The sequence below is a fragment of the Homo sapiens genome, chromosome 13 (genome assembly GCF_000001405.40).
Source record: "Homo sapiens chromosome 13, GRCh38.p14 Primary Assembly".
Lineage (NCBI taxonomy): Eukaryota > Metazoa > Chordata > Mammalia > Primates > Hominidae > Homo > Homo sapiens.
The window spans coordinates 105,713,669-105,741,223 of NC_000013.11; the positions used below are offsets into that span (position 1 = coordinate 105,713,669).

The following is a 27,555-nucleotide window of genomic DNA, read 5'->3' on the forward strand; positions in this document are numbered from 1 at the left end:
ATGCTATCATAAATGTAACTCTTCTCTTAATTTCTCTTGTAGAATGTTCATTGTGATTGTAAAGAAACACAACTAATTTTTGTTTGTTAATTTTTGTATCCTGCAGCTATGTTTAATTCACTTATTAGTTCTAACAGGTTTGTATGTGTGTGTAAAACTTTTATGAGTTTCTATGTTTAAGATCATGATATCTGTGAACTAAGATACTGTTCTTTATTCCTTTCTAATTTATGTTCCCTTTATTTCTTTATCTTGCTTAATTGCTCTGGCTAGGACTTCTAATATTATGTTGAATGGAAGTGGCAAGAGCAGTATCCTTATCTTATTTCTGGTCGCAAAGAAAAATATTTTAGAATTTTACCACTGAGAATGATTTTTAACTGTGGGCTTTTCCTAAACGGTTTCTGGAATATTATTAATTTCTTTCCTCGAACCGCGTTTTCCTGTGTTTTTTTTGTTAATTTTTTTAAAATTTAAATTTGTAGGTTCCAAGTAGGTGTATATATTTATGGGATATGTTTCCTGTTTTTACGTATGCTGTGTAATTATTTGCTGGGATTTGGACATTTGAAAAAAACAAACAAACAAACAAAAAAACTGCTCTTTAGTCTTTGCACACTGATTTCATTCAAGGAAAGACCTGCTCCCTAAGCCTGGATGGAGGTCTAGGACTTCTCAAATCTTTTCTGATCTTTTGCACCCCCATTCCCCAATGTCTGGCAGCAAAACGGAAGCTCCAACCTACTGCTTGCCTATTTTCAAGAATTTCTAAATTCTGTCACCCATCCCATCAATGCTCCAATTCAAGCTAGATAGAAATGAAGTCCTCAAGCCGTTCTAGACAAGCCAGAATGTTGGATATATGAAACATTCATTTGTTTAGTCCCTGACAGAGAAATGCCAGTGTGAGAGGATGTATCCTAGTTGTAACATGCTATGCTGTGGGAGGGAAGGGACATAAACAGGTGTGTCAAACATCACATTATTTTCTACTTTTTTTACTGGAATCTTCTCTGGATTTTACAATGGCCTGGATTTTGTAGCTTGTCAATTGCTCTCTAGAGTTCTCACAGAGGTATTCTAGTCCACATATTGCTGCTAACTCAGTGTCATTTTGGGGGGAAAAGGACCTGTAGCTTCTTAGTCTGTCATCATGCTGATGTCATTCACTACTTAAAGTATTCTGAAGCTCTGTTAGGTGCGTAAGAATTTTAAATCTTATGTCCTTTTGATGAATTCAGTCTTTTTATCATTATGAAACCAACTTTTAATAGGTGATCATATTCTTTCCTCTGAAATCTGCTGTTTTTTAATTAATAAGCCAATCCAGATTTATTTTGATTAATGTTAACGTAAATTTGGTATATTTTCCACATCTTTATTTTTATTACTCATATATATACACACATACAAATATAAATCCAGCTCCTTCCATGTTGCTGCGAGTGATGGAATTTTATTCTTTTTTTATATCTAGAGGTTATTATGTTGAGTCAAATAAACCAGGCACAGATAGACAAATATTACATGCTCTCACTCATATGTGGGAGCTAAAAAACGCGGATCTGACGGAGGTAGAGACTAGAATGGTAGTTATCAGAAGCTATTAATAGAAAGGGAAGTGAGGAAAAGGAATAAAAAGAAGTTGCTTTGTACAAAATTACAGTTAGATAAAAATAAATGTTAGTATTTGATAGTACAGTAGAAAAATTATAGTTAAAAATAATTTATTGTATATTTCAAAATAGCTAGAAGAGAAAAATTGTAATGCTCTCAACACAGAATATAAATATGTGAAGTGATAGATACTGATTATCCTGATTTGATCATTACACATTGTATACATATATCAGAATATACCAGGTACCCCCAAATATGTACAACTACGATATATTGATTAAAAATGTAAAAGGGCATATCTTGTAAACAGGTGTATTTGGATTTGCTTTTTTAAAATTCAGTACTATAATCTTTTCCTTTTGATTGGAGACTTTTCTTTAGACTAGTTGCATGTGGTGGCACTATTCACGTGCTTCTGTTTAGCTCTGTTACCTGACTCTGGTTTCTTTGTCTCATGTGTGTTCCTTTTTTCAGCTTTGCCTCCTTTTTTGCTTTCTTGTCGATTAGTTGTAAAACACTAGCAATATTAGTTGTAAAACTAATCTTCAAAAAAGCAAAAAAAGAGGAAAAGGTGAAAAAAGACATTTTTATAATTTTTTTGCATTTTTTGGTTTAATAAATATAACACTTTGTTATATGATTTCAATTGGTTGCTTTAGAGTTTATAATACACATCTTTAACTTATAACAGCCTAATTTCAAGTAATATTATGTTAACTATAATATTAAAACTTATAATAGTGGAATTCCTTTCCTCTCCTCCAAAACTTTGCGCTGATCTCATTGTATTTATCATTTCTGGTGTTCTCAATATGTTTGTGTAGATCCAGGTTTCCAGTGATTTCATTTTTCTTCTACCTGAAAGAATTCTTCTAATACTTCTGTCAGTGTGGGTCTCTGGTGATAAATTCTATCAGGTTAGGGGTTTTGTATCTCTGAAGAAGTCTTTATTTCACTTCCATTTTTGAAAGACACATATTGCAGGATATGGAATTCTCATCTGACAGGTGTTTTTCTTTCAGTACACTAAAGAGGTCTCTTTTCACTTGCATTGATTCTAATGATAAATCTACTGTCTATCATTCTTATTTTTCACTCCTTTTTTATGTAATATGTCTCTCTTCTCTGGTTTCATTTAAGATTTTCTCTTCATTATGTTTTTAGCAAATTGATTATAGTGTATCGTTTTTTATGTTTGAGGTTCTTGACTTCTTGAGTCTGCAGGTTTATAGCTTTTGTCCAGTTTGGAAAATGTTTGACCATTATTTCTTTCAAGTTATTTTCCTGCGCCCCCATTTTTCACCTTCTTTAGGAGCTCCAGTGGTATACAAATAAGACCACTTGAAGATTATTTACAATTCATTGATTTTTTCACTTTTTAAATTATTTTTCTCTTAGTTTTATTTTGAATTGTTTCTATTGCTTTGTCTTCAAGTTCACTTCTTTTTTTTTTTTTTTTTTTCTGCAGTGGCTAATTTTCTATTACTCCCATCCTGTAAATTTCTCATCAGAATCAGTGTTGTTTTTATTTCTAGAAGTTGATTTAGATCTTTTTTACACCTTACATATCTCTATCTAATTTGATAAAACACAGAATGTTGTCATAATGAGTGTTTTAGGCTCTCAACCACAAATTCTAGCACCTTTGTTAGTTTGGGTTTAAGGTGATAGATTTTATTATTGGTTTATTATTATTTATCTGCTTTTCTGCATGCCTGGTAAGGTTTATTTTTAGATGTCACAAATTGTAAAATTTTCCTAAAGCGAGTGTTGGTTATTTTGTATATTTCGTATTCTTATAAATGTTTTTTACTTTTATTCTTGCATTCATATGTTAGTTGCTAACACATTAACTACTTTAGGCCTTGCCTTTATGATTCTTTGGGTGAATCTGGAGCATTGTTCAATCCAGGAATTTTTTTTTTTTTTTTCTGATGGAGTCTTGCTCTTGTCACCCAAGCTGGAGTGGAATGGCGCGATCTCAGCTCACTGCAACTTCCACCTCCCAGGTTCAAGCAATTCTCCTGGCTCAGCCTCCCGAGTAGCTGGGATTACAGGTGCCTGCCACCACACCTGGCTAGTTTTTGTATTTTTAGTAGAGACGGGGTTTCACCATGTTGGCCAAGCTGGTCTTGAACTCCAGACCTCAGGTGATCCTCCCGCCTCAGCCTCCCAAAGTGCTGGGATTACAGGTGTGAGCCACCACGCCCGACCCCAGGAGACTTTTCCAAGTTACCTATCCAGTATACATTGAATTGTGAGGTTTCCCAGTCTAGCTGTTGACACTAAGCACTGTTCTTTTCTCTTTGTGACTGCAGAACACCTTACTCTAATTATTTTTAGATTTGTTTTTATTATTTTGATAGTTTTCTCATGCAAATGCTGATTAGTACACAACTGAATATCAAGGAGAGCTCTGGAAAATAACAACAGTTCTGTCTCTGGAGTTCTCCTTTCTGTAGAACATTGTCCTGAAATTTCTAGCTACATTGGTCATCTTCTCCTCATCTCAACGGTTTCACTGAAAACTACCTGTGCTCCTCCTGCACATGATACAACCTAGAAAGTCTTATTGTTTAAACCAGGGAAATTGCAGCACTCATGTTTATTTGTGACCTCTCAAGGACCACTGCTTGTTTTCTGATGTAAAAAATCTTCTAAAGTGTATTTCAAAGCATTGCTTTATATATTTTATCAATTTTCTTATGTTTTTCAAGTTATAGAGAAAGTTTCCGCTTTTTAATTTATTTTGTACTGACATGCTTTGCAAATCTATTTACTTTTTTTTTTTTTTTTTGAGATGGTGTCTCACTGTCACTCAGGCTGAAGTACAGTGTCATTATCATAACTCACTGTAACCTAGGACTCTTGGCCTCAAGCCATCCTCCTATCTCGGTTTCCTGAGTAGCTATGAGGCCTGACTAATTTTTTATAATTACTTTTTGTAGAGGTAGGGTCTCACTAGGTTGCCTAGGCTGGTCTCAAACTCCTAGCCTCCAGGAATTTTCCTGCCTTGCCCTCCCAAATTGTTGAGATTACAGTCATGAGCTCAGCTCCCAAAAGCTTTCTTATATGCCTGTTGTTGTTGTTTCCTTCCTGATTAAATGGTCTATTATATAGATAATACTGTGTCTGCAGCTATGATTTTTTTCAATTGTTTAATTATTTAACTAATCTCTTGATTAGGTAATCAATCTGCATCCCATTTTGGATGAGAATATTTGCAACTTTGAAGGTTATTTTAAGGACAGCAGCAGAAGAATTATGGCAGGTATCTGAAATTCATTTCTGTGCTTTGCCGAGGACCCATGGGATGCCATTTGCAGATGAGAAAACTAAAGAATAGCTTTATCTTCCAGCTCTTCACGGAAAAAAAAATGGCAACAATAAAATCAGCAACTCCTGCCAAATAAATGGGCATAAAAAAGAAATCATAGACTGCTGGCAATGGTGGGGAAAAAGTTATAAAAATTGTCTCTGCACCATCTTCCTTTTGTCCTCTAAAATATTCACATTAGCAAAAGTATATAACAGCTGATGAAGAAATACTGATAATTTGTCTTTGTAAGTATATCGAAAACATTTCAAGATCTAGAAATTTGAAATTGTTGACAAGTATTTATCTGTTTATTCACAAATTTGAAATCAACCTCAGGAATGCTCATTCTGATTGATATACTTAGGTCATAAATTTTTAAGACCACAGATTTCCAGGGACTTTTTGGAAAATCACCCAGTAAAACAATGTCTTTTTGCAGGGGACTAGCTTCAGTATTTTGGCTTCTTTTTGCTTCTTTGCAACAAATTGGGAGACAAAGGTGGGAAAGTTTTTTTCAATAAGTTAATAATTTTTTAAAGGTCAAAATTTTGTTCTTTGCTTATATTAGAATTAAACACTGTGAGATTCTCTCTGAGACCTTGTATACTTTCTCTTTTAAAGATAATTTCACTGCATGTAATTTTTCGGGGAATGACTCTCAGAGTTGTTGTCTGAAAGTACCTTGATGTTTGGATATTGGTTTGTTTGGATGAACAACAAAAGGAATCAGTAAGAGAAGTTATTATAAGAAATATAAAGCTATTATTAACATTTCAATGAAACCAAGTAGTCTGAAAATTTTCACAGATGACTGTAATAGTTAGTGGGATGACCTCACTGTTTTGCATTAGGAAATGTTATGTAGCCTTTAATTTATTGAATATAACTATTGCCTTAATTTTAATGAACAATTATAAATACGTGAATGAAAAAGGAACAATTCTATATATAACAATTCTAGTTATTATTGCTCCATATAACAATTCTAGTTATTATTGCTTATTCTATATAACAATTCTAGTTATTATTTCATATGGTCTAACATGAAAGTCAACAGCATAGACACAAGACAGAAAGCCCATGTTTACAAACCAAATACATTAAAAAGATTGTCGTTACATATCAGCAGAAGAAAAATGCCCAATGGCAGATGAAGAGAAATGCTAATGAGATTCCATGAGCTAAAACCACCATGACAAATGTAAATGAATAGTACTAAGTGATCCACATGTTTATTTCACCAATTCTATTTGCGAGAGAATAAGTAGAAAAGTAACATCCAATTGCTGTCTTCCACAAGAATAAAGAGGCTTGACGCTTATTCCCAACCTTATTCAACAGAATGTTATCGTTCAAAGCCATTATGCAAACTGCCCTTTTTCACAGTTCTCAGGCCACCGTTATACAATTGCACCTAAAGCAATTGTCAGGCACTTGCTTGTACAAAGTTCAAACTCCACTAGTACAATAAGCAAAAGCTCTGCATGTGTATTTCATTTGCTTCACAAGTGGCATCAAGGAACAAACACATGGCTTATCTAGGCTGGACGGTTGGGGGGAATGACAATTTGATCTTGGTTCGAGGTTGCATTTACTTAGGTTTACTACTGAACTACAACTAGAAGAATCAAAGGATATATGCCAGGTGAGCACAAAGAACAGATATTGCATCCTAGTTCACTTCCTGCTGGAAGAGAGCCTGAGGCTCCCAGTCAAGCATCCTGCAGGGAGAGAAGAATGTATTAAGTTAGGATCAGAGCTGCACTCCTATGTGGCTTCTATATATCAGCTCTAAGTTTCCAGCTGCACCACATACACAAACACTTGACTTTCCAGTTATATACTTCATTTGTCTGTAAAGAAATACTGAATAAATGTTCAATTTTTTCTACAAGCCCAGACCAGAACAGGTGTTCAGTTTCTGATTACAAGCTGTAATTCCACAAAGAAGTTCAAATATATGAAGAGGAAGTCAGCTAGCATTCCGTGTAATATCTTCATTAAAACTCATCACAGTTTAGCTCCTATGATAGTCTTCCTGCAACATCTTGCATTGAAACATAGTATTGTTAAAGAAACAGAATGCTTAACTTACTATGACTTAATACAGCTCAGCATTCTGTTTTCATCTTATTTGCTCCAATTTGTTCTTTTTCCTACTTAAACAACTAAAATTGAATGATTATACTCTTTTTGAGGATTAAGTAGCTAAACTTACATTCTGGACTTCAAGATTCATTGTATTGTACAGTAGACTTAAAATTATGTAATTAAGTAACTTTTGATTTGCTTGGTTTTTAGCACTTAAATCTTTAATGTGTATGTGTAGTAGGATGCGCATACATGTGTGAACATTTGTGTGTGTGTGTGTGTGTGTGTTGAGTTGGAAAGTAGTAAATATCTCTTTTTGCTGAAAGTGTGCTGTAAACACATTATTCCAATTACATTTGGTTCTAGTTACTTGGTCTCTAGCTAAGTATGGTTCCCTATTTAAGAAAGATGCAAATCAAGTTAATTGTGATCGCTCTTATGCTCCATAAACAATCTGAGTGTTTGGAAGCATTGGAGGCACAGCCTTGACAGGCTACCACTGAAGATTAGCCAACATAAACATTGTGCGTGCAGAAAGTCCCATCAGGAGGACAAAGGAAGCAGGAAAGACCGCAGAACTCTTGTTTCACACACTGCCTCTCACTGGATTGTTGTTGAGCAAGATACTTTCATGTTGGCCAGATACCAATGGGGTAGAAAAACAGAATTGTAATATAATATATTTTATCAAAAAAAAAAACATGTAGAATGTTTTTCATGTTTTTGCATGCAACATAACTTCCTAACTGCAAGATTTTTTTTCGAAAAGAATTTCACATTAATTAACAAGGCAGCAGTCTCTATGGGGTCATAGTTGGCAAAACCAAATCATAACCAAATCACAACCTCCAGCCACTCCTAGTTCCTACTCCCAACTCCGGACCATGGGACTGTGGGTGACGACATGACAGAGGAGTCATTAATCACAAGCTGGCATGGCAAGATTCATAACAAATGCTTGGACAATCACATTTCATTTCTCAGGAACTTGGACTGGGGGCTGTAGAGGAAATGGAGCACTCGGCAATGGAAGGAAGATGGATGTCTCCTTCCATGGTGGGGCTGCTTCTATTTCACAGGCTTCTACTAAACCTAGAGAGAAGGTGCATGATTCCTTACTTCTCATTCCCGCTTTCTGACACTGTCCCTTCTATGAAAACCCTGCTGTGAATATCACACACATCTTCCTCCTGCTCCCTGTTGCTGTCATTTACCAGCTATCAGATCCCATTCTCTGTTGCTATTATTCTTAGTAATTTGAATTCTTGCGTAGGTGATCCATTCAACAACCGGACCTCTGAGTTCCTGGAAATCCTCTCCTTTCATAAACTTGTCCTCACTCAACTCAGCCACAGCTCCCATGGTCATTTCCTAGTTGTGGTCATGACCAAGGCTCAAGTATCCTTGTCTCCAAACACCATCTTCCTAGTTCACTCCCTCTAGAACCCTTTGACCTTACAGGAACCCACAGCCCTTTAATCCTACCATACCTTTATTCTCTCTTTTGCCAATTCACTTTTCCCTTCATGCAGAATAATTTCCATGGCCCCTAAGCACAGTTACTACCTGGTGTACACCCTAAATGTTTATCCTCCCCTCGCTTCATCATGGTTGCTTAGAAAAAACCACATTACTGGCTGAGTATAACCAACTTTCTGTCTCTTCCATACCTACATTTGTACAACCTTTTATGGAACTAATCATGGCTGGAGAAATATACACATCCATGCTGGCAGGTCCCACTTTAAGTTCATGATCACTAACCCCAAAAGGGCTCTTAATACTGCCTGGCAACTATACCCATAACATATTCCCTGTTCACTCTCCTCTTTTACATTTCTCTTTCACACCTTTCCTCTCCTCAAACTTCCAACACCTCCTCCTCCATTCTCACACCAAACTGGTTTCTTGATTTTTGATTCAGATAGAAAATAGAAGCAGTCAGAAAATTCCTACAGGCTCCCTCAACGGACTGAATATGGGTCTGTGCATTCTGCCTTCTCTTCTTTTGCTGTGGGTGGCTCGGCCAGGCCATGCTCCTCTCTGGGGCCCAGCCCGCAAAGCGCATTAGACTCTGTCTTATTCAACCACTTATTAACATCATTCAATTAAGTTTCCCATTTTCCTCTGCATTAACACATTTTTCTTCACTAATAAGTCATTCCCTTCAGTGTATAAACACGCTCTTGTTTCTTTCATCTTAAAAAAAAAATGTTAACCCATATCCTTCTCCAGCTCATGTCCTCCCCTATTCTCAAACAGAAGAATGCCCCAGAAATAGTTATTTGTACTTGTTTTTTTCCCTGCAACTCTTCTCTTAGATTTATCCTAATAAAATTCAACTCTACTCTGTGATCAAATCTATTGCTGTGAAAGCACTCAACAACCTCTACATTTCTAAAACCTAAAATCAAAATCCACATCCATGTCTCATCTTTCTGTGCTGTAGAAGTGTTGTACATAGATGCAAGTTTTTATGGAAAATGAATGGTCTGGAGGTAGCAATGAGGAAGAAGAAGAATAGAACACCGACCCAATTTCTTTCTCCTTCCAATACATTTTTCACTTGCTTCTCAAGACGCCAGCTTTCCTTGATTGTCCTCACACTTTCTGGCTGATGTTTCTCCGTTTCTTTCCCTCTTTTTGTCTTTATCTTTATAACATGGGGCCACCAAAGGCTCCGTTCTTGAGCCTCTTCTTGTTTCTGCCTGCACTCACTCTTATGCTAATTCCATTCGGTCTTGTAGCTTTTAATGACTTTCCTATTTACGTTCTGAAATTTATGTTTCCATCCCCACCTGTTCTCTTGAATTTCAGACTCATATGTTATGTATCAATATTCCATTTACTCAAAGATTTATTCTCAAGGCTAGCTAGTTCTTCAATCAGATCCTCAGATTTTGAGATTTCACCTCTTCTTTCACCTCCGTAGTTTGGCATTTGTGTGTGTGTCTTGTACATCACAATGGTAACAGGTTTGATTAGATCTGTATAATGACCTCAGGTTTCTGCTAAAGCGTAACTGGTCTATTCTGCCTTGGACAAGTGATCTCTAGTATGTGTTTGGAATGATAGAAAAAAGGCATTGAGGGTAAGTGTGGTATTCCTGTGGTATAAGCACATTTTTTTTTCTCCTTTTACCTCTGTTGTTTTAAAACAGATTTCTGATGGTTCTATCATTTTTTTAATTCACTGGTGACAACACACCCTGTTATCAACTATTTTACTACTGCTATCACCCAGTTAAAATAGATACTGACAATAGCTTCTTCCCTATCAAGAGTCACAGGTATTGTGCAAAGGGCCATTCAGAGTGGACAGTCCAGGAAAGGGGAGAGACCAGCTGAGAAGGCTCCACACTGGCCTCTACAACTCACCCTAGATGCCTCTTCTGCGATGCTTCAAGGCCTTCAGCATTTCTCACTCCCTGTCCTTCCCTTGTTCGTAGTGCCAACACCTTTGCCAGTGGCCCCTTCCCACACTAATCTCTCCCATGGCTATATTCACAGCTGCTTTGACCCTTCTCCCTCTAGTAGATGAGCTTGACCAAACACCACCCTGGCTAGACCAGAGCAGGTAGATATGGCTATAAGAAAATACCCAATCATTCTGACAAATTACCTTTGAGTTTTCTGGTTGGAAAAATAGAAGTGCACCTTTGGCTTTGTCCAGCAATCTTACCTTTAATTTGGTCTTTCACTCACTAACAAACAATAAATTTCTCAACTTTGTCTGTCTTCTCCAGTCCCATCTTTTCTTTCTCTCACTCTCAGCTGATGGCTTAGCTTCTTATTTCACTGAGAAAGTGGAAACATTCAGGAGAAATCCAGCCTTCCATCAGGGCTGCCAAGCTCCTGTGTCTGAACCTGTCTTCCTATCCAATACTGTATGAGAAATGGCTTTCATCTTCTTGTGCCTGTTCAAGGCCTTTGCATTTGACATTTTCACTTACTCTATTAATGCATCAAGTATTATTTCTCTTTGGTATCGTTTTTATATCCTCATAAATATGTTGTAATACCTTTCATCGTAAGAATTACAACGTCAACAAAACCTTCCCTGATTATAAACCCTCTCCTACAATTTCACAACACATTTCAAAAGAGTTGTCTATACCTGCTGTATCCACTTCAGTCTGCTCCTTCATGGTGGTAACACCTGCATTTGCCTCTATTGAAACATATCAGCCCCAGAACAACACGCAGCTCATTCTATCACTACTCTATCCAGCTCTCTGCTCAAATGCTATTTTTTTTTAAGAGGAAAGTCTTTAGTTGGCTTTTTAATTAGAGGGTTACCCTCCCTCAGGGAACGCTCTATCTATCTATCTTGTTTTATTTTTCTTCTGATGACTTACTACTTCCTAAAATCACACACACACACACACACACACACACACAAACACACACACACAAAATCACATTACATGCTGGCTATTACCTATCTCCCAGTAGAACAAAAACATCCTGAGGGCCAGTGACCTTATCATGCCCAAGCTTAGCTTCTTAGATGTGCCTGTCAGAATTGTCCCTCAATGAATATGTTAAGTGAATGAATGAATCAGTAATCATGTTTACTTATTTGATATACTGGGAATATAACAACGATGTCATTTAAAATAAAATTAGGATGTTGGCAGCCAAAATTTGGAAAAATTTATACCACTTGGTCAATCCCATTTCCACTTTCTTTACACTAATATCCTTTTGTCTTAGGCACCAGGAGTTCCAGTTTTTTGGCTTTAATTCTATATAAAATTTAGCCCTATATAATCAAGTTCATTACAAGAAAAAGCTGAACTGAAAATTCTATCTAAAACTTAGCCATATATAATCAAGTTCATTATAGGAAAAAGAAAGCTGAACTGAAAAGCTGAGTGTTCCCAGGACATTGCTAGTGCAGCACCAATAATCTATATTTGGAAGAACTCTGGAAAGTGAAGAATGAATTGCTCAGTAATCTGGGAGGACATTAGCCATTTTCCATGAGTCATGACTCAAGGTTGTCTTCTATGCCCTGCACTGGAGAAGCAGTGGAGTCAGGAGAGACCCAGAGACTGGTGTTTAAAGATGGGTTTGTCTTCCACCATGGGAATTCTAGCAAGCCATCATTTCAGACACTGTTTCTGTAAAATGGGATGGTAGATCGTGTGGTGAATAGAAGCCAGGGGGCCCTCATGCTCCTAACCTTCACATCCTTTCCTCTTGAATGCAAGCGAGACCGCCGACTTCCTTCCTTCTTCACGGATGTTGCTCCAGTTATTAGGCTTTGCGTTGTACTGTGTACAGCTCCATCTTGGTAGAAGGAAGAGAGGCTCTTCTTGCTGGCCTGATGACGTGAGCAGCCATGCTGGGAACATCCCCACGCCAAGGCCAGTATCTCATCAACAAACAGCATCAGCTGAGGCTCTGAATCATGCAGCTGCAAGCTGATTCTGCCCCAAACCTGAATGAGATTAAAAGTGGATTCTTGCATAGCTGAGAACACAGCCCAGCTGACACCTGATTAGCCCCCATAAGGAATCCGTGGACTCCTGGCTCACAGAAACCATATCAAGATGTGGAAAGAAATAATAACAAGACCATGTTCCATTTCTTGTTAAGATTTGATAGTTGCGTTTCACTACATTAAGAAAGGTTAATAAACAAAAAGTATTTTTTCTTCCCTGACTCCCAACAGTCATAGTATCCTTTGGTCCTACAGAAGACTTTGTTTTAAACACTTCTTATATTGAAAATGAACTATTTTCTTATACATAAATGGCATGACCATCTTTCCTGCTATATAGGGACTGAGACGTTATCTGCTTTTTCTGCAACTAGCTTGTACTTGTGCTTAATGGTTTCTCTGTGGATGTCTGTAAATTGGAGGAAGGCAAGTCTTGAACCCTCTTAAATGCACATGGGGTGAACTCAATCTCATTTCTAATTCTCTTCCCAATCCTCTATAAATCCTACGGAGGAATTTTGTTAATCATCAGTTCTAATTTTGGTCTATGAAAGTGTGCTCAGCACATGTACTGGTGTACAGGATGGAAATGATTCACTTGGAATAAAGACCACCCTGTAGATAACACACATAGGAAGGACTGGAAGCTATGGCTGTGCTCATGTCCCAGAGTCTCTCAGTCTGTGGTTGTTCCTCGGGAAGCTCTAAACACACAGTTACAGAATTATGCAAAGCCTCTTACTTGATAAGATCTTCTGGAAATACTACATGGTCAAGAGCAGTCTACACACAGCTTTAAGCTTAAAGTCTGTTCCATCCCGCCACCACCAACAGGTATCATCTTTGATGACTGTGAATTGCATATATTTGTATGTTGTTACAGAAAATCTAATTTAACCCTAAAAATGGAAATATACCAAGAGTTTATTTTATTCTCCTTAAGCAAAGGGTCCAAATAAATAAGTGGAGAAGGCATTGTCTGTGATGGCTCTCAGTCAATAAAACGTCGTGAGAGCCTTCTCAAGGCATCTTAGTTTCTGCTCTGTTTTGTTTTGTTTTTCTCCCTCCACCCTCCTCCATCAAGGGGGAGAGTGGAACATTTATGCTTATCCCTTCCTTAACCTTTGTGATACAGGAATATTTTGGATGGATAGGTAGAAATTTATTTTGCTTTACTAGCAAAAGTTATACACAAGGAATGATTTGTAAAATTGAATAAAGGAATCAATTAGTGTCCTTCGCTTTTTGGAAGGCTAACAACATACTATCTCAGAAATGGGGGGAAATGACTCTCCCACATGCTTTGAAGGAAGTTGAACCCTTGGTGGGAAGACTTAGGTTGATGAACCATTAGTGATATCTACTTTCATGGATATTGGACTTATTGGCACATTTTCCAGTTTATTAAAAAAATCCATTTAACCTTTCTGACAAAAGCAGGACTAAATCATCTGTGCTTTATGTGAGAGTACCCAATGATTGCCTCCACATGAAGACTTCTGAACCCTGGTGTTGCCATGGTAATGACTGAGTCTCAGAATTGGTTCACTTCAAATCATCCAAAAGTTCCTGTTTTAAAATGTCACCACTAGTAAACCCACTTTGCTTTTAAAATGTGTGGAGTGGAAATTCAGGGAAATAGCAAACCCTTTATTTGCCTCTGATATAGCAGTCCTAAAAGTACATACATATTTATGGATCTAATAAGTATTTGTATGTGTGTGTGTATATATATATATATATGTATATATATATATGTGTGTATATATATATATGTGTGTGTGTGTATATATATATATATATATATATATATATATATATATATATAATGATTTCCCAAGTTCATTTACTCTGAAGGCAAAATGGGTCAATATACATTTGAAGTACAGTGAAGTTATACAATATTTTTACATTTATTACTTCCTGTGTCTGCTCTTTTCTGCATTTTTATGATGCTTAATTACAAACACAAAAGAAAACTAAGGTAAATAAATTTAGCTTCCATATCTAGTGCTTATAAACCTCTTTAATAACACTAAACTCCCAGAAGAATGAGGATCATTTCATCTTCCTAAGGATATAATAGCTATATTCCCCAGAGTTGCTGAGAATAATTTTATAAAACATCATAATGTAGAAAATATTTTAATGTATTGAAAATATGGCACAGGAAGAACTTCAGCCATATGTGCAATTCATGCAAATAAATCATGTCATTTCTGGCTGTTTAAAAGCCTGTTTAAAAGCTTTTTTTTCTTACTTATTGCATCTTTGGAAATAAAAAGAAAAATAAACTCATTGACCAAAATGTGCTACTATGCAATCAATTTAAAAGATGAAATGTTTTTGCCTCACTCTATATCTAAAGTGGATTATTGATGGTGAAAAGATTTTTTTCAGTTTGACAGAAATGGCCAGTTATAATCTTGTAATTTAAATGCAGCTTCTTTAAAATATGAAGACTTCGAAGTTATTTATCCAAACCAACCTGATCATTTCTTAAGAGTGAATATACCTTGGAAGACGTGTCCTGCCTTTAGTAGCGTCACAATGGATTACATCCTCTATAAAGCAGTCTGGGGTGAGTGAAAGAGGGGGGCGGAAATTAGTGATTTCATTTGATTTAATTGTTGAATCATACTTAAGAACTTAATAAGGCTTTGTTCTTTAGAAAAACCAGAAACTGTAACTCAATGTGATTTTTGTTAAGCTCTTGATGCTTTTCCATGAAAGATTATTTTGAATTCTTAAGGTGGTAGAATAGGAAATTATCACATAAAAATACATGAAAATAGACGTGTACAGACATTTTTGTCAGGACAAAAGGAAAACCCTCTGCTCAGATAATGGCAGTTTATCAAGAATCCTGACGAAATGCTTGGTTTCTCCCTTCAATGGGCCACCCACTGCTGTCCAGGTAGGAAATTTCCTGCCATGGACAATCTGGAAGTGTCTGAGAGACTGTCTATACTCAGCTCAGTGAGTGAAAAGAGAAAACCTGTGATGGGCAAATAGTCTGGATGATGATACCAAGATTAATTTGTTCCGTCCATCTGACTGGGTGGAGTGCATATGTGCTATGTTGTTGTAGACTCCAAACATCTAAATTGTTCAGACCAGACCAATCTGGATATTTGGTGAAAGGAAAGCTCATAGAAAAATTTTTCAGAGTTTTTACTTTGTGCAATTTTATAATTTTATATTATCTAAAGTTTTAGCTTGAAAATATGAAAGACAAGCATCCAATTGATGGAAGAAGAAAAGAGAGTTTTCCTTTTAGATGATTGTGTCTGAACTATTAGGCTTATTATGCTTCTAAGTGCTTTAGATATTTTCATGTGTTTACTTCTCACAATATGACAGCTGAGGAAATGGAGGAACTAGAGGTCAGTAATTAGCCCAGGGACACATCTCAGTTGCACAGGCAGTATTTGAACACAGCATTCCAGCCATGGTGATGATGTTTTTAACAGCTGCATTATATTTCCATTTCATGGTCAAATACCTTCATTGAATAATTTAAAATTTCATTTAATTAAGTAGGTCTGGCATTATTCAGATCCAAATTTAAACCAGTTCAGCAAGCCATCTCAAAATACAGTAATTGGGTATTAAGAAATTATCTAGGCATTCTCTAAATTTATTTACATATTCAACGAGCATTGAAAATTATGTATCAGATATTCTGCCCAATCAGAGGCTAACATCTGCCACAAGACAAATATGGTGCCTGCCCCCATGGAGCTCATATTCGAATGGAGAAAATGTCAACAAGTATCCCACGGAGTGAACACTTCAAAAGGAGAAGCACAGGTTGGTGTGATTAGAAATGGCAGGTGTTTATGAACGGGGTGCCAGTGCAGGGAGAAAAGGCCTGTATCGAAGGACACTGTTGATGCTGAGATTTGAAGGGTGGGCAGCAATTAAACAGTTGATGGTGTGGAGAGTGAGCCACACTCCAGGATAGGAAGACCAACGTGATAAGTGAGCAGAGCAAAGAGGGACCCTGGCTGTCCAGGAGGCAGGGCTCAGTTACTCACGGCCCCACCGTCAAGCTGAAGATTGGAGACTTCATTTGGTAGGCAATAGGAAGCCACTTAAGGCTTAAGCCTCTAAGGACCATGCCCCAAATACAGGTTTAAAAAGGTTTCTCTGGTTATGGTTTTAGGTGAGAAAATCGAATTTGGACACCGTTGAGGAGACTATTGCAGTCATCCAAGCTCAAGATGGTGGAGCTTCATCCTTGAGAATAACCAATGGGGATAGATTTAAGAGACACTTAGAGTCTGCAGCCAACAGGGCTGAATGAGCAGTAAGTAGGAGCACAGCTGGGTGATGTGGTGGAGGGAAAGAGAGGAGTCAGTAACAGCTCCCCTGTTTCTGGCCTTAACATGTAACTAGGTACCTGTCTGGACTTCTGTGTCTCAAAATATGAAGCAGCCCATACTACTACTTCCTTTGTTTCTGCATCTGATGGAATAATAGAAACGTTTTCAATTTTTGTCAGAATACCTTCATAACACACACATACAATTAAAATAGCCTTTACATTTTTTACATTCCTATATTTATATTTACACTTAACATTATTGAGAAAAGCCCACACTTGATGTACATTGTACCAATTGTACTGTTCTGCTTGCCCCATCAGGAAAGCAACTCTGGAAAAAGTGTGGTTGTTTGCAGTTTCCTGGTTATTTAAATTGACTGTAAAAGGTGATATGGTTCTTCAATATTATTGAATAGTGTTGCTGAGACTTTCTTGAATGTTACTGAACTTCTGTAATAACATCACTCAACAACTGAGATTATCCTATCCTAAATAATGGTTGATGTGATGTAAATGCCAGTCCATCAGTCATACAGACAAAACCCAAGATGATGTTTTGATTGTCATTGAGACAAAGTTATTCTTGCAATAATAAGAATGGCCAACGCTCATGGAGTGCCTTCTACCTTCCAGGCACCAACTGAGAGCTTCACACATATTAACTCACTCAATCCTGCTAGCAATACTCCCAAAGATGGTAATATTTTTGTCTTCACTTTGGGGATGAGCAAAGTGAAGACATAGAAATTTAGTATCCTGACCAAAGTCAAATGCTGGATAAGTGGTGGAGACAGAATTGAAAGCTGTTAGGCTGCCTGGAGTGAACGTCATCAGAAAAATGCAAGACCTCTTTTTACGGAGAGTTATTCTTCTGCCCCAAAGATGGAAAGCTAAATTTCTGATTGTGTATGTGAATAAGCAAATTTTAAAATAATCACATTTAATGCACATACACTGTGTCTTTTCCCTAGGAGAGTTATGATTCAGAAGATCATCTAAAATTGAACAGCTGCCACTACTGGCAATAAGTCTACTGCCATTTGGTAGATAACCTTCTTATCACACAGAAAAATATCAGTACAGACAAATAGACCGCAAAGAAAATGAGACCATCAGCAAAGAAGATAAAGAAGTTTGTACAAAGCAACTTTTTATAAATGGATGGCTGTCAGGCAAAAATAAATTTCCTGTGGACAAGACCAAGAGCAAGGCAAGAGGAAAATAAACATGTTTAAACTATTGGAGAGTCCATAATTTAAATATAAACTCTTCTGTTGAGTGGTAGTGTGCACCGAATCAGTTCCAGGGATGGCAATAAATGTTACGCTGCATTTTAGGAAGTATGGGAGAGGAAGCTGGGGCAAGAGGAACTAATGCATGATTAATGCTAGATATTTGGAATTGCCTAGAGCAAAGGAGGTTGGGGGCTGCAGAAAACTAGATCTTTGAAGATTTAATAGATTCCTCATTCTATGTCAGTCAGCCCACTTAGATTTGTCACGTGTTAGCTCTGTTTTTCTTTACATTTAGTATTTTTAGTAATGGCTTTTACATTTTTAAAAATCAGGTTGAATTTAAGCTAATGGACAATAAAACTTCAGGGTTAGAGATACTGTTTTTATTCAGCAACTAGATGAGGAACTGCAATGAATGAGAATTTGGAAATTGATGTTTTTATAGTGACACAAGCTGCATCACTATGAGATGTTCTTAGAGAGGAAATATTTGAAATTTTTAATATTTGCATTTTAAATTGGAATTGAGAAATGGGCAAATGAAGACATAGCTCAATGGTCAAATTAAACATTACTTGTTATTCTAAATGCAAGATTCTAGTTAAATTAGAAGGGTGGAAAAGTGTTGTTAATTATTTTTTCTTCATAGGAATGTAAAATCAACTATAAAAAATTAATGCATGAGACCCAGGGATTAGCATTACAGCAAATTCAGTGATTTTTGCAATCCATGCCTTTACAAAGAATGTGTGATTACTTTGTCTAGACTTTGTAGCACACTATAATAAATAGAGACTGACAATATCAATATATTTCATAAATACATGACTGGAATTTACAGTATTTCTGACGATTAATATTTTCTCAACTACCCTAGGTAAAGCAATGTGTACATCTTATAAAGGCAAATCTGTTGATAATGCCATTTGCTAGCAGACAAAAAAATAGTAATGGCATTTATTTGTCTGAATATATTCATCTTCTCAAGTAAACCTGGGAAATCTGAACTGAAATCCATAGATAATTCATTAGCTTCAGTTCATGGGTTTGTGTTCTTGGAGTCTTCTCATACATATAATATCCTAGCACAGTTTTTGTAAGATTGCTTCATGGAATGATTTCTTTTTCCTGAAAGGGCTAAGCTCATATAAAATCAACTATGATGGGTTACTTGTAAAGCTATCGATTGACATGGAGCTGAAATGGCTTCTTTCTAAAAAAATTCTTCTAGAGATACACACGTTTTTGTAATGAAACCACTAACAGCAGATGGGAGTTCATTGATACTTGTGCCAAAAGGCTTCCATTTTTTCAGTTTCTTAGAGCTGTGGATACAGCAAAGGCAACTAAAAATATAATTTTGGAGAACAATTAGTCACTCTCAGGAAATCTATAAATATTCTGGGAAAGCAACATGGCATACACATTCTGCTCCACAAAAAAGATGACTACATTATATTATATTATGTCATGATTTGCAATGTTATGTGATGCATACATGCTTCACAATTCTTTTTTACTTGTATATTTAGAAGATTCTAAAAAAAGAAATAGTTCTTTTGGCTGCAAAATTTGCAGAGAATGTCTGAATGCACCCTCTTCCCACCTCCTGCCACTGCGTGGCTGCCTCTCTGCATAGTTCTTCCATCACTCTCCCTAAATGAATGAAAGCTTTTGCTTGCCTCATACCTGTGAAGTTCCTCCACAAATACACATTCCTATAAAAATAAACCAAAAAAAAAAAGAGCTAGAGAAGCTGAACATGTGGAGAGCGCTTGTTTTTCTATAAGACGATCTTGATTTCTCTTAGGGATTTTGGGATATTGGCCAGCTCTGAAGTTCTTGGATGTGGTAAAATCATGGACACACCTACGCATGAGTGTGGGTATAGTCAGGAATTGGTTGACCCATCTCAGAAGTCAGCATTGGTCTAGGTACTCACAAATAGGAACTATAATATAAAATGTTGATATATAAATATTATTAATAGGTGGCATTGTAGCACACTGCCAATATTTCTTTAAAGGATAGCAATTTCTTGATATTAGTTATTTAGAAGTATAGTGGTTAAAATAACTTATATTCTGTGTTTATCTTTTCAAATCATGCTTATATATACTATTGTTTTCATCATTAGGAATTAGCTTTCAGAATACCCTTTCCAGACACCATGAATGATTTAACAAATGTTTATGCTTTGAGTTTCAGATATACCCGGCTTTTAAAATTGAAAACCATAGCCTAGAATTCTGATTGAATATGCATAACAAGATGGGAGCATAAGAAGAAAATTTTTATTGATCTTTAAAATATAAACCAAATGACTCTCACTACTGATTTTAGACTTGTGAATTAAAACAGGGGTCCATGAACTATGCGTAGAGGGTCAAATCTGGCCCACTGCCTGGTTATATAAATAAAGTGTTGTTGAAACACAGCCACACCATTGCAGCTATGTAACTAGGGGGATATCAGCTCTACCCCTATGTCTGCGGTAAGTTAATGGGTCCTGCTATAATCCCCTTGTCTTGTCAAGGTTTTGCTCCAGAATGGAGATGAAAATTAATGGTAAAAGAACCATAAAGATAGGTCTTCTCAGAAGCTTCTGAGAAATGTCCTGGTTCTTAAGAAAGAAGCACAGGAACATGCTTTTCCTTTTTTGCCAAAATCCAGTGCTGTCCAATACAGCTCCTTGAAAATATGTAAATCGTCTATATCTGTGCAATCCAATATGATGGCCACTAGCTACATGTGGTTGTTTAGCTTTAAAATGTGACTAATTCCACTGGATAACTGAACTTTGGTTTTATTAATTTTGATGAATTTAATGTAAATAGCCAGGTATGGCTAGTGATGATGAGTCTGAAAAGCATATTTCTAGATGGCATCATGCTTGGATAAAGGTCATTGTTGTGTTACAAGCAGGCAGATGAAACGAATAACAAGGATTGCACAAGGAGCAGTGGAAAAATCCCACATCCTTGGTACATTATTGAACCTCTAAACAAACCAGCCCAGATGATTACTCTAACCTTGTTAAGTATTTATAAAACATTCCTTATTAGTTAGGTTTGAATTTCTGTTTCATTTATTTAAAACATCTTAACTAATATACACTAGCCCTTTAGTTTATGCTGCCTACACTCTTCACCTTTACTCTGAATAAAATGTAAGTGATGTCATTGTGAGAGGCATGCTTTAGTCTTTTTGTTTGTTTGTTTGTTCTGTTTTTTGAGGCAGAGTCTCACTCTGTCACCCAGGCTGGAGTGCAGTGGTGTGATCTCCACTCACTGTAACCTCCACCTCTCAGGTTCAAGTGATTCTCTTGTCTAAGCCTCCCAAATAGCTGGTATTACAGGTGTGTGCCACCATGCCCGGCTAATTTTTATATTTTTAGTAGAGATGGGTTTTCCCTATGTTGGCCAGGCTGGTCTCAAACTCCTGACCTCAAGTGATCCACCCACCTAGGCCTCCCAAACCATTGGGATTACAGGCATGAGCCACTGCTCCCGGCCACCTTAGTCTTTTTTTTGTGCAGCCCTCAATGCTTGTGATGCTGAACACTGCATGTGTTCATTAAAAAAGAGCCCAGAAGCAGGTGTAGACCATTTCCTCACATTTGAAGCTCTGCCAACAGGCTTCCATTTTTTCAGTTTCTTAGAGCTGTGCATATAGAGGAAAGCTCAAAATGTGAGGAAATGGTCTACACCTGCTTCTGGGAGGTAGGTGGCAGACTGCCAGAAGGGAGACTGCCTTGTGACAGTCGCTAGTGCACTCAGTAACTAGAGGAGGAGGTCTAGCTTGTACACAAACAAACAGAGAAGCAGGCTGCATACCAGTCCAGATGTAGAGAACCACAGCACTCCCTCAAACTTCCTCTCAGCAGTTATTCTGCAAGATAGAAATCTGATCACTGGAGAGTCATTCTATCATTTAAAACACTGACTTTCTACATAATTGAGATACAGCTTTTTCCTAAATAGAAAATTACATAGCAATCAAATGTAGAAGATAGCAGAGGAAAGTCCAGCTGCTCAGGGGAAAGTGGGTGGTTGGAGGCTCAAAGTCCTTTCCTCCCCTCTCCAGCTGGCCTGACTGATCCCCTTCTAAGGACCCACAGGGACCTTCCAGCAAGCCCTAGGCTTCTACGAAGCTCACTTTCAAAACCTCAAATTTATATGTAACTTCGTTCCTTGCTAAAACACAAATCTATTCAAAAAGGGTAAGTTTTGTAAGATATTAAGCCTTTAGTTATCAAATAGTCTACCATTATAATATGCAAGAAACAAAAAAAAATTGACATTGTAGGTTCAATATTGAAGGAAATAAGGGCCTTGTTTGTAATTTTTTATGCCAGAAGAATTGACAAGGCTAATTGTGAAACAGTTGAATGTGAGCCTAGAATTGTAAAAGGCAGTATTCCTAAAATACACACTTTTTCCTTCTTAAATACTTTTTAAAAAGTTCTAGCATAGAAATAATATACATTTAATAAAATGAGGAAAGGTAGGAAGAATTATCACTAATAATTTTACTGCTAACCAAGTGTCACTGTTAAAATATCTAAAATTTCTTTCCAATCTTATTCTGTGACTATATTTTTCTCTGTTGTAGTAATATTCAACATGTAATATTCTTTCTTCACATATTAATTAAGAAGAATCCTTCCGTATTATATTAGTTGAGAATACATTATTTTAATGATGTCTGTGGGTATTGTGTGTGTTGTGTGGGTATGTATTTTTTAATGGTTATTTCTCAGAGAATACAGTTTAAATCAGAAAAAAGCAGAAAATAAAAATAAGACAAATTACAATTTTATCATTCTATAAACAATATATAGATTGAACTTTGAATTTTATTTAGTTTTGGTTAATTTGCATGTAAATAGCCTTGTAGCTAGTGGCCATTGTATTGACGAGCATAGCCCTAAATAGTGTCTTTCCTGGATACAAGTCACCCTTCTGCTCCAGGTCTTCAGAAAGAGCAACAGTAAGGACAGACAAGAGAAGCAACTGAGAGAACCCCAGGCCTTGGTGCACCTTGGCCTCCACATAAACCAGCCCTGATGGCCACCCTAACTCCAGGTTTCCTGTCATAGATTTATAAAGTTCTTTACTGTTTAGTTGGAATTTCAGTTGCATGGATCTGAAAACATCCTAACTAGCACAATTTTTCCCTTAATTGTATTAATTGTGCCCTATCTTTACCAAGATATTGCTCTGTGCTTATTAGCACTAAACATTATCCTTCAAAAAAATCTGCAATGGTTTTCTAACAAAAAGGAAAACTAAGCTTTCTTGCTTGCTGCCTGTGACACAATATTGAAATCTTACTTAAATTCTCAACAACTGAAGGGGTTACCCCTGATGTGCAAATGAGGAAATTATAACACAGTATGCAGTGAGTTGTACACCCCAACACAGTCAGATTCTAAGCTCCAAGTCCATTGTATGTTTCACCAACATTATACAACAAAACACTATTTCAGGTCTTTGAACATATGTCATTTTCTCCTGGAAGCCTTCTCCTTTCATCCTACTTAGAACTGCTACACCTGCCATCCACAGGTGTAACGGCCCTTCCCCACACACCTGCCCTGTTTCCTTTTCCTCTGTTGTATTTCATACTAACATCAAATAATATATTATTTATTTGTGTAATTTTTATTGTCTCCTATAATAACATGGGCTTTGCCATGGTAGAGGTATCTGTCGCTTTTGTTCAATGCTGTATTCCCAATATGTGCACATAAAAGATATTCAAAAATCATGTGTGGAATGAATGAATGAATGACGAATCAGATTCTAGTTTGTTTTCCTTTTGTTATTAGTGCCATTAAGCATTTTTTCATAATGATTGGTCAATTACATTCTGTTTGTGAATTACGCCTATTTCTCCTCTGTGCCATGAATTGAATCTGGCCCCTTTACACAACACAATGCCGTGTTGTAGAAGCCTAGGTGTGGAGAATGATCTTTGCTAGAGTCCTCTTCCCATGTCCAGCTGAATGGTTTCTTGCAGTTATTTTTCTGGATATCAACCTCATGGCTCATGATCCAGCACTTGAGTCTTGGGAAGTTATGCCTGTCCAGAGAGACTTAAACCACTTTTGCCAGACTGTGGTATGTTAGCTGCAAAATCCATTTAGGGTGTCACATGCTACATAGCTGGAGTTTATGGGAAACCCCTGGGAAACCCCTTCCAGCTAGGCCAACCTGCCCAGCACCAGCAGGTAGGGCATTAGACAATTATTATTTTGAGTTCATTGATTGGCATTTTATGTCTTTCCTAGTACATTGTCAGTTTATCTAGTTGTATTTGCCGTATTCATTTAAAAAAAAAGAGTAATTTTTTGTTATCATTGTTGGAAAAAAAATTTATCTTCGTTGGAAAAAAATTTTCTCAGTTTCAGTATTTATTGTATAGTTTCCTGAATGGACTTATTTCTTAAGACATTTTTCTTCTTTTATAAACTTGTTGCTTTTTTCTCTAACAAATTATTAATCCTTCATAACTCACCCAGAATTTTAACTTATTGACAAAAAATGTACAATTTGCTTTGTGTTGTTCTTGACTAAAGTTTTAATTATCTTGAATAAGAAGTGTATTCTCAGATTTCTGAATGAATCACACAAAAAGGCCATTAGTTACTTGTCTAAATTCTCCAATATAAAATAAAATGTACCATATCTGTTCTTAACACCTTGCTCAACCTTTGCACGTCTGACAGATTTCTATTTCAGGTTTTTTAAAAAATCTATGAATTAAAAAATTTTTTAAATATATTTTTGTTTTTGTGAATACATGACAGACTCTATGTTAGGTATTAAGGAATGATCAGTCAATGAGACCAACATACAATACTTGGTCTCGTGAAGCCACTGAGCATTTATTGTGTTTATACATAAAAACTTAAACTCAGTGCTGCTGAAAGGTGGCTAAGGCATAATCAACCTTTCAGTAAGAGTCGGTTTCTCTGTTTATATTATCTGGTCCTAGTCTTAGCTTTGCTATTTACAAACCTGGGTGACCTTGCAGGAATTTCCTTTGCTTCTCAAGTGTGCCATGTCTCAAACTTTTGCTCAAAACCAAACTCCATCTACCTCTCTAAAACTGATTTTCTCCTCAATTCTCCTCTCTTGATAAATGGCATCTCAAGTCTTTAGGACTCTCAGGCCAACAACCTTGAAGCCATTCTTAACACCTTACTTTCTCTTATACAATTCATTCAACCTATTAAAAAATATATACCATCAGTTCTATTTTCAAAATAGGTCCAGAATCTAACACTTCTTAAAACCTTCATACTTGCTATCTTATAAAAGACAACATTATTTCTCACCTAGACAATTACTATAATCTCTTAAATTGTCTTTCTGATTCTATTTTTCTCCCTATGGCTTAATATCTACAAGACTTCCAGTTATTATTCTTTTAAATAGACTTTATATTTAAAGCAGTTTTAGGTTTATAGAAAATTTCAGGAGAAATAACAGAGAGTTCTCATATGTCCCCTGCCCCCACGTGTGCAACCTCCCCCACAATCAATATCTCACGCCAGAGTAGCCCATTGGTTACAATCATTGTCACATCATTATCACCCAGAATCCATAGTTTAGATTAAGGTTCACTCTTGGTGCTGGACATCCTATAGGTTTTAGCAAATGGATAATGACATGTGTCCACCATTACAATGTCATACACAACCTGTTATCATTTTAATGTTGGGTTGAATGTCTATTTTGCCCCAAAGCCTTCAATGGCTCATCATCTTACTCAAAATAAAATTCCCAATCCTTCAATGAATTTAAGACTCTGCCTTAAATTCTCACCTGATCTCAGTCTTTGCTACAAACTCTCTCACTCTGCTCCAGCCACGTGAACTTCTTGCCCTCTGCAGACAGACTTCACCTTGGGGTCATTGCACATGTGCTTCCCTTTGCCCACAATGCTCTTCATTATGGCATCTGCTCAGTTTGTCCCCTCTTATGATTCTGGCTTTTATTCAAGTTTCGCCTTAGTAGCAGGGCAGCATTCATTGGCCAGCCTTGATGCTATGGCACCCTCATCACCCTCTTGAGTCCTCATTCTACTTTCTTTCTCCTCCATTAACTTACCTCCTGCAAACATTATATATATGTATTTTGTTGCTGTTGTTTCTGTGTTTGTCTTTATGTCCAGATATGATGTAAGTTTCATGCGAGTAAGAATCTTGCTGTTATTTCCACCATTATGCATGAATAAATGAATTTCTTGGTGCCTAATTTTTATTTCAGCTGTAGAATAGGTATGATAATATAAATCACAACATAAGCTTGCTGGGATGATTAAATAAATTAATATCGCAAAGCAGTTAGTATTATGTCTCATGTAAAATGATTAAATATTTGTTAGTTGTTTTTATTTTATCATTCTTAAGATGATGGAATGAGCTCACAGTCCTTTCCGCTAGTTTCTTTACCTCTTTCAATTTAGTCTTTTTGGACTCCTTCCAACTACTGTCTGAACCTAATGAACCTCTGCTCTTCTATGTGTGTATGTATATACATATTTGAGACAGAGTCTCACAGTGTCGCCACGCTGGAGTGCGGTGGCACGATCTCGGCTCACTGCAACCTCTGCCCCCTGGGTTCAAGGGATTCTCCTGCCTCAGCCCCCCGAGTAGCTGGGACTACAGGCATGCGCCACCACACCCAGCTAATTTTTGTATTTTTAGTAGAGACAGGGTTTCACCATGTTGGCCAGAATGGTCTCGAACTCTCGACCTCGTGATCCGCCTGCCTCGGCCTCCCAAAGTGCTGGGAGTACAGGCGTGAGCAAGAGCACCTGGCCTCTATGTATATTAATAGCCATACTTGGCTGTACGTTCTTAGCAACTGACATTTAAAACTGCATTAATATAGTATTTAAAATGACAATATTTGTCCAATAGAAGAATTAAATGTGGCTTAATGTACTCTTACGTATTATAGCAACAATGATACAGTAATACTTTCTATCAAGCAGCTACAACACAACAAAGACTTTATGTGTATTTTTTTTAAACACTTAAAACAACCTTACAAGGTGGGAATTATGAGCCGGTTTCCTAGATCAGGGAACTTGGTGTCAGAGGGTGTAAAGTCCTCACCTCTGTAGGCCACGAACCCAGTAAGAGGTGGATTCAGAATGCAGTCTCATGATGCTCTGGTTTCAAAGCCTTGCTCATTTTCTGACAGAAAGATTGAAGGCTACAGGGTGGAGGGTACTCTCAGGGGACATGACACAGCATAAGTAATTGCCTAGCAACGGTGGCGTTGGCTCCGAAGTCAGGAACCCTGTGGGCCCCCAGGACAGCACCCCAATGCAATTGTTTTGCAGGAGGCTTATCTGGAGAGCCGAGGCATTTCCTAAGGACACTTAAGGAAACTTTTCACTATATCACAAGTTTTTGCAATTTCACAACTTCCACAAAAATGTAATAAGTGTGAATGAACAGGTAATATTTCTCGTGTGGAAAAGTCCATATT

At 36.9% G+C, this 27,555-nt stretch overlaps 1 long non-coding RNA gene across 2 annotated transcripts in view; it reads left to right on the plus strand.

Moving 5' to 3' along the window:
• Positions 1–27,555, plus strand: part of LINC00343 (long intergenic non-protein coding RNA 343) — a 54,967-nt gene that overhangs the window by 6,839 nt on the left and 20,573 nt on the right. Inside the window, exons 3-4 of one of the 2 annotated variants that reach the window (NR_120418.1) lie at positions 16,647–16,790; positions 17,780–18,047. The exons of the other annotated variant lie outside the window; for it this stretch is intronic. This is a non-coding gene — a long non-coding RNA (long intergenic non-protein coding RNA 343). Of the gene's footprint in view, positions 1–16,646; positions 16,791–17,779; positions 18,048–27,555 lie in introns of those variants that run through there. 2 annotated transcript variants of the gene reach the window in all.